The sequence below is a fragment of the Homo sapiens genome, chromosome 6 (assembly GCF_000001405.40).
Source record: "Homo sapiens chromosome 6, GRCh38.p14 Primary Assembly".
Taxonomy (NCBI): Eukaryota; Metazoa; Chordata; class Mammalia; order Primates; family Hominidae; genus Homo; species Homo sapiens.
In genome coordinates this window covers 144,130,594-144,138,505 of record NC_000006.12, presented here as the reverse complement: position 1 = coordinate 144,138,505, position 7,912 = coordinate 144,130,594, and the positions used below count along the sequence as shown (strand labels likewise).

The 7,912-nt window shown below is 38.8% G+C and overlaps 1 pseudogene, besides 1 other annotated feature; it reads right to left on the bottom strand.

Annotated features, from left to right (window-relative positions):
• Positions 1,227-1,427: a silencer, noted in NCBI's record as "peak6182 fragment used in MPRA reporter construct". NCBI's record gives its function as "represses an SCP1 promoter by STARR-seq MPRAs in K562 erythroleukemia cells {active_cell/tissue: K562}" and the evidence as "EXISTENCE:reporter gene assay evidence [ECO:0000049][PMID:32103011]".
• Positions 1,731-2,069, bottom strand: MRPL42P3 (mitochondrial ribosomal protein L42 pseudogene 3; annotated as a pseudogene).

The window sequence follows — 7,912 nt, the reverse complement described above, 5'->3', positions numbered from 1 at the left end:
CGAAATGCCGGGCAGGTAGTTATGGTTGTGCTATGTGGAAAAGCATGGTATAGAAAAAAGACTGGATTGAATGTCTGAATTCCAGGCCAACCATGGTTTGATCCCAATGCATCTGTCAGGAAGGCAGAATATCCTCACAGTCAGAAGTGCTGGTTCTGGAACCAGACTGCCTGAGTTTGTATCCTGCTTGTGTTTCTCCCTCTCAGGAAGGATCTGATGTGCAACTGCTAGAAATGAAGTCAGAAGGCACATCCAACTGTCAGAGCACTCCAGGCCTGACTTGGCTACAGAGAGCTGCTTCCTCTGAGGTTACACCTTCCCCCAGCAGCTTGTGTCCTGTGGGATAAAGCAGCTTGTGTCCTAGGGATAAAGCTGGGGCCATCTCAGCTCTGTGCAGGATACTCTGATGAGCACAGTATGCTACAGAGCTCCTGGCCAGGTTGACTGAGGCTTTGACAGGCCTCCATCCCAGTTTGACTTCTTCCTCTGCCCACTTCTGCCTCCAATATCTTCCTTTCATGGGTGCTGATGCCTAATAAACATCTTACATCCCAAACTCTGTCTCCGCAAATTCTTCTAGACAACCCAATCTGCAATACTGCATCACAAATTTTTGGTTGTTTGAATTTGGCTAACTAACCTGTCTGTGCCTCAGTTTCCTAATCTGTAACATGGAAATATTAAAATTATATTTCCTTTAATATAAGACACCTTTTCTTGTAAGATACACTTCTGTTTCATATGGCATTAAAAAAGAAAAAAATGGTTGGGTGCGGTGGCTCACGCCTGTAATCCTAGCACTTTGGGAGGCCGAGGCAGGCAGATTGCTTGAGCCCAGGAGTTCAAGACCAGCCTGGGCCACATGGTGTCTACAAAAAATACAAAAATTAGTCAGGTGTGGTGGCGCCCTACGGTAGTTCCAGTTACTTGTGAGGCTAAGGTAGGAGGATCTCTTGAGCCCAGGAGGCAGAGGTTGCAGTGAGCTGTGATCATGCCACTGCACTCCAGCCTGAGTGACAGACTGAGACCCTGTAAAAGAAAAGAAAAGAAAAGAAAGAAGAAAGAGAGAGAAAGAAAGACAGAGAAAGAAAAAAAGGAAATAAAGAAAGAGAGAGAGAAATAAAAAGAAAGAAAGAGAATTTACATGAAGGAGGCACTAACAGAAGATCTCCATACAGAACTGACACAAGGTGATATGGTTAGGCTGTGTCTCCACCCAAATCTCATCTTGAATTGTAATCCCCATGTGTCTAGGGAGGGAAGTGATTGGATTATGGGGGTGGTTTCCTCCATGCTGTTCTTGTGATAGTGCATTCTCGTGAGATCTCATGGTTTTATAAATGGTACCGCACTCTCACACTCACTCCCTCCAGCTGCCTTGTGAAGAATGTGTCTGCTTCTCCTTTTGCCTTGATTGTAAGTTTAAAATTGATATGGCCTCCCCAGCCATAGTGAACTGTGAGTCAATTAAACCTCTTTACTTCATAAATTACGCAGTCTTGGGTATTTATAGCAGTGTGAGAATAGATTAATATGCAGGGTAAGGAAGAAATAAAACTACAGAAAATGATAAGAAAACTTCTGTATCTTAATATTTTTTAATATGAAAAGAGATTTTATAATTATTATTTTTATGATATATCCATTAGTGAATATAACAGATTGCATTTTCACAAATGGCTAATGAAGCAAAGGATAACGTTTCTCTTTGATTCCCAGGAACCTCGAAATCATCTGTCTTTTGGAGGGTTCAGTTTTTTATGACACTGTGATACTGTCCATGAGGATATCAACAGTGCTTAGTGGTAACAAACATTTTGCTAAGCTGGTCTATCTGGGTCCTTGCTCAAGGTGCTCATATTCTTCTAATCTGGCTCTGAGCACCTGGTCATGTGTTTCTTAGTTATTATGCACAGGATCTGTTTAGAGGGATAGGTTTGGTGTGTTCATATGGAATGTCCACAGAACGGTGGTAGCATAATGTCATCCTGCCGTCAGATATCAAAGCAAGCTGTACTTTGCATTTACAGTCATCTGAAAGAGAAGAATACACGGAATTATTCAAATACTCAATTGATCCAAAAAAAGCAGAAAAAGAGGAAAAGGGGAACAAAGAACAGATGAAACAAACAGAAAACAAATGGCAAGATGTTAGATTTCAGCCTGACAAATAAATAATCACATTAAATATAAGTAGTCTAATCACTCCAACTAAAAGGCAAAGATGGTCAGACTGTACAAAAAAGAAAAATGCAACTATATACTGCTTACAGAAAAGATACTCATTAAATATAAAGACACAAGTGAAGTTATGAGAAAAGATACAGCATGTTAACACGAATAAAAAAAAGCTAGAGTGGCTATATTAATATCAGACAAAGTACATTTGAAAGCAAATTAGAAGTATTACTAGAGATAAAAAAGGTCATTTCATAATGATAAAGTGGTAAATTAATCAGAAAGAGGTAACAATTCTAAAGCTTACACATCTAATAATAGCTTCAAAATATATGAATTAATAAATTAATGAAATCCTGATCTATTTAAATAATTTTATTTTAAGTGTTTATGTTCATTAGTTATAATTTGTATTCTGCCTTTGCTTTAATTGACAGACTTTTGGGGAGGTCAGTTTTTGATTTATAAGAACAATTAAATAGAAAGTACAGAGAATTCCCACATACCCCCTCATCTTCTCTCATCTACACAAAGGGATAAATAAGAAAACTTTTGTGTCTTAATCTTTTTTAATATGAAAAGACATTTTATAAGTATTATTATTTTATGATATAACATATTAGTGAATATAATAGATTTCATTTTCTCAAATGGCAAATGAAGCAAAGGATAACATTTAAGTCTTTACATTCATTAGTCTCCCCTTTTAGTCACATCTTGTTTTAATGTGGTACATTTGTTACAATTGATGAGCCATATTGGTACATTCTTATTAACTAAAACCCACAGTTTACATTGGGGATCATTCTTTGTGTTATACATTCTATTGGGTTTGTATATGCGTATATGTGTGATTTTTCTCTAATTGGGTTTTGACAAATGTATAATGATTAGTATAGTATAGAAATGTGTAATCCACTCATACAGTATGATACGGAATAGTTTCAGTCCTAAAATATTCACTATGGGTTACCATACCCATAATTTTGTCTTTTCCAGAATATCATATAGTCAGAATCATATAGTGCATAGCTTTTCAAACGGACATCCTTCACTTAACAATATGTATTTAAGGTTCCCCCATTTTTTTGTGGTTTGATAGCTGAATTATTTTTTTCATGGAATAATATTCCATTGTATGGCTGTTCCACAGTTTGTTTATCCATTCACCTACTGAAGGACATCTTGGTTGCTTCCAAGTTTTAGCAATTATGAGTAAATTTGCCAAAAAATCTGTGTGCAGGTTTTTGTGTGGACATAAGTTTTCAACTCATTTGGGTAAACACCAAGGATCATATAGTAAGAGTATGTTTCATTTTGTAAGAAACTGCCAAACCATCGTCCAAAATGGCTGTGTCATCTTTCATTTCCATCAGCAATGAGTGAGAGTTCCTGTTGTTCCACATCCTTGCCAGCATTTGGTGTCATCAGTACTTTGGATTTTAGCCATTCTTATAGGCGTGTAGTGGTTTCTCATTGTTATTGTAATTCTTTTAATTTTAATAGATAATGTTAACATATTATTTGATATTTTGAGTCTTTTACATTTATTAGAATTTGTATTTTTTCAAAAGTAAATTCAAAGTGAGTTTTGAATATCATTATTGTTTATTTTTTAATTATTTAGATTGTTATGTCAACAGAATAAAACTATGTGAAATCTTACTATAACGATATAATATTTTGTTGAATGAATGTGAGAAAAACAAGTTATGAGGAATAAATGGGCCATAATGTATGAATTGTATATATTTTTTCTTATTCATCAAACATTGTTGGTCCATCAACACTCAACATATGCTCAGTAATAATTAAATTTAGTCACTTAAAAATATTTTCCCATTTGTAGTCACATATTTCTCAGTTTCATCATTGTGAGGTTATATTTGCCACCGTAGGATGAAGAACATATTTAACAGTTTCTTAGCTTGATTTATAATGTGAAAGTATTCATACATGTGGAATGTTGGCCTCTTTTTGGACTCCTGCCTTGGGATAGTCCTTTTGATAGAGGCAGGTCACAGTTTTTGGGAGTCATGAGAGGTTATGGATATTCTCAGTAGAAACTTGCACATACACAGATACAGACAAAGTTCTATGTACACCTCAGGGATTCACAGACTCCCTAACACTCATCGATGGACCCAAGGGATCCATTCACTGTAGATCGGCAGCCCCTGCTGTACAATTCTCTACGTGTTAGTGCCATTTTAATTTTCCTAATGCACAATCCTGAGATTGTCATCCTCCCATCTCTTCCTTCAAACTCCTCCAGGGGCTCCCATTTTTTTATCCAATATTTTCTTCATCCTACCATTTGAAGTATTCGGCAATCTCAACTCAACTGACCTGAACAGACTTATCTCCCTGTATCCCTTCATGTAGCCCAAGACTAAGCCATGACTAATTGGGACACTTACTGTTACCTGGATATATCTCCTGGCTTTCCAGTTTCTCTGACTTTGTTTATATAATTTTCTTCTTGAAATTTCCTTTTCTTCATCTGTGCTGACTAAAATTCTACCATTATTCACAGCTCTTTGTTGTAACCTTTTCTTCCTACCCCCACCCACCCTAAAACAATCTTTTATTTTCCTGACCTCTCAGAACATGTGTTTTTATATCCGTTTTTTCCTTTCGTTTCCTTTCCTTCCTTTGTTCCTTCCTCCCTCCATTCATTACTATCGAGCTATTCAATAAACTTTGCTGAGTGTGCACAGTACTGGGCAGTCTACTGGGACAAACTGTTACTACTCTGCAAGAGGTTCACAGATTAATGGGAGCACTTTCACGCAGGACCTGAAGAAGACCTTGGCTGGAGGGTGGTAAAATGCAGGGGTTGGGTTAGACTGCCTAGGCCCTGAGCCTGGCTCTGCCAATGCTAGCTGGGTGACCTGGGCCAAGTTACTTTACTTGCCTCTGTCTGTTTATTTATAAAATCAAGATAAGGGCACCTGCCTCACAGGGTCCATATGACGGTTAAGTGAGCTTACTGTGGAGAGATTTGAGAAGAGCACTTGTCAGGTAGTAAGAACCCAATAAATATTATTGTTATTATCAGTGTGAATGGAGGGAAAGTGGCAAGTTAGAGTAGATGTCCTTGCAAATATATGTTGGAGAAAACCTCACACTCTACTCTGCACGCTCCAGTGCTGGTTGAGGAAGATGAAACAGACAAACACAGACTTCGAGCAGGTCTCCTCTTCTGAGTTGATTTGGGAGTTTGTTACGCGTGTTTCAGGTGCATTTGTAATTTCTGTCCCTATAGCCAATTTATCTCTTGACCTGAAGAGTGGCTTTTAGAGGTCACCACTCCCTCATGAGTTTTTTGTTGTTGTTTTGATTTTTTTTTTTTTTACCACTGTGGAGCCAGTAAGTTTGCAAAAAGTTTTTAAAAATAAAAATGGCTGCTCACACATCTCCCCTAGCAAGCCAGGGCATTCATAGGAGTGAAGTCAGAAGATGGATTTTTAGGGCAGCTAGGTCATGGAAACTATGTATAGGTTACCCAGTCAGTAGGCAGGTAAATGGCCTTTTTAAGATATAATAAAGTATTTTATTGAAGTAGGGAGGAGTTGGAAGCAGGTAAACTGCTTTCGATTCATGGGTCATACTTTTCTAAACTGGAGAGAGTGGGCAAGTCATTCAAACTTTCTGGGCCTCAGTTTCATTATCTGCATTATGGAAATAATTCCTCTGTTCAGGATTAAATGGGAATGTACATGAAAGTGCTTGGAAGTGGAGAGAAAGAAGAAAGGAAGGAAGAGAGAGAGGGGAGGGGAGGGAAAGAAGGAAAGAAGAAAAGAAGGGAGAGAGGGGAGGGGAGGGAAAGAAGGAAAGAAGAAAGGAAGGGAGAGAGGGGAGGGGAGGGAAAGAAGGAAAGAAGAAAGGAAGGGAGAGAGGGGAGGGGAGGGAAAGAAGGAAAGAAGAAAGGAAGGGAGAGAGGGGAGGGGAGGGAAAGAAGGAAAGAAGAAAGGAAGGGAGAGAGGGGAGGGGAGGGAAAGAAGGAAAGAAGAAAGGAAGGGAGAGAGGGGAGGGGAGGGAAAGAAGGAAAGAAGAAAGGAAGGGAGAGAGGGGAGGGGAGGGAAAGAAGGAAGGAAGGAAGGAAAGAAGGGAGGGAGGGAGGAAGGAAGGAAGGAAGGAAAGAAGGAAGGAAGGAGGAAAGGGAGGGTGAAGCTCAAATATATTCCAAAGAAATAGCCGGAGATCTATGCTGTACATTTTAACTTTATTATTATTATTATTATTATTATTATTATTATTTTTTGAGAGACAGGTATCGCTCTGTCACCCAGGCGGGAGTGCAGTGGCGCAATCTCAGCTCACTGCAATCTCTGCCTCCCAAGCTCAAGTGATCGTCCCACCCCAGTCTCCTGAGTAGCTGGGACTACAGGTGCATGCCACCATACATGGATAATTTTTGTATTTTTGTATTTTTTATTTTTTGTAGAGATGGGGTTTTACCATGTTGCCCAGGCTGGTCTCGAACTCCTGAGCTCAAGTGATCCGCCCACCTCGGCCTCCCAAAGTGCTGGGATTACAGGTGTGAGCCACCATGTCCAGCCTTTTAAACTTATTATTAAGAGCAAGAGTGTACTTGGAGAGTGTTTTTTTATAGTATTGACTTCATGAGTTTTAACCACCAACTTTTTGAACTAAGTGCAGTTAGTGCTTTGACTATATTGAGCTGACAGCTTTCTTACGTTATTACATGAATGTCATATTAGTCCATTGTACACTTTCACCTTTAGAATAGTTGAACTGTATTTTCAGTGCCTAACTGTGAGTTACTGTGACCCAGAACACTTAGAGAAGTTGACTAACATTCAGAAAATTTATGAGTAATAGTGAGTAATTTATGAATGAGAACATGGCAGATTTCCATACATCACTTTTATTGAAAGTTGAGTCACTCTTTGTTATGAAAATAATTTATAGGGCAATGTTCCATTTGAGAAAAAAATGAAAAGTAATGGTATTTGTCAAAATGATGAATATGGTTTAACTTCAATGAGAAAGAGCAAATTTCACAGAAAATATAAACCCTACATCAGTTTATTTATTGTCATAACTATTTCAGGTTCTTCTGGTAAAACAGCAAGAGGTTTGGCTGAATTAGGTATCACTCGCACCAGCTATTTTCTGTCTTTCTAGATCCATTTTCGGCCATTCTCTCTGCTGCTTGGAGCCTCGGGAGGCTTTTGCAGGAGATCAGAAGGCACAATGAGGCTGGGTCAGGGTATTTCTCTACTCTTTCCAGGTGACACCAAGGTTCTGGCACCAGCAGGGTCCCTGCACACCACAGCTCCTTTTCGCTCCAGGCTGCACAGGACTCTGGGAGGGAAAGACTTCCTACTGTTGCTTCTTCCGATGCCCCAATTTTCCTTCTTGCTTTGCTTCACTCTGCCTTCATCTGTGTACATTTAACAGATTTTTATCAAAATTCCACCTGGGGAAGACTTGTTTTCTACTGAGATCTAGCCAGATAATATTTTCCAGTAAGTACAGTTGCTGAAACTCTTCTGGGGCATGGTTACCACAATAAACCAGATCTAAAGCAACCAGATATGCATGCTGCTTTTTACAGATGGTTTTCAGCCTGCCTTCCTTCCTTCTTTTTTCTTTTCTTTTCTTCTTTCTTTCTCTCTCTCTCTCTTTCTCTCTCTTTCTCTTTCTCTCTTTCTCTCTCCTTCCTTCCTTCCTTCCTCCTTCCTTCCTCCTTTCTTTCTTTCTT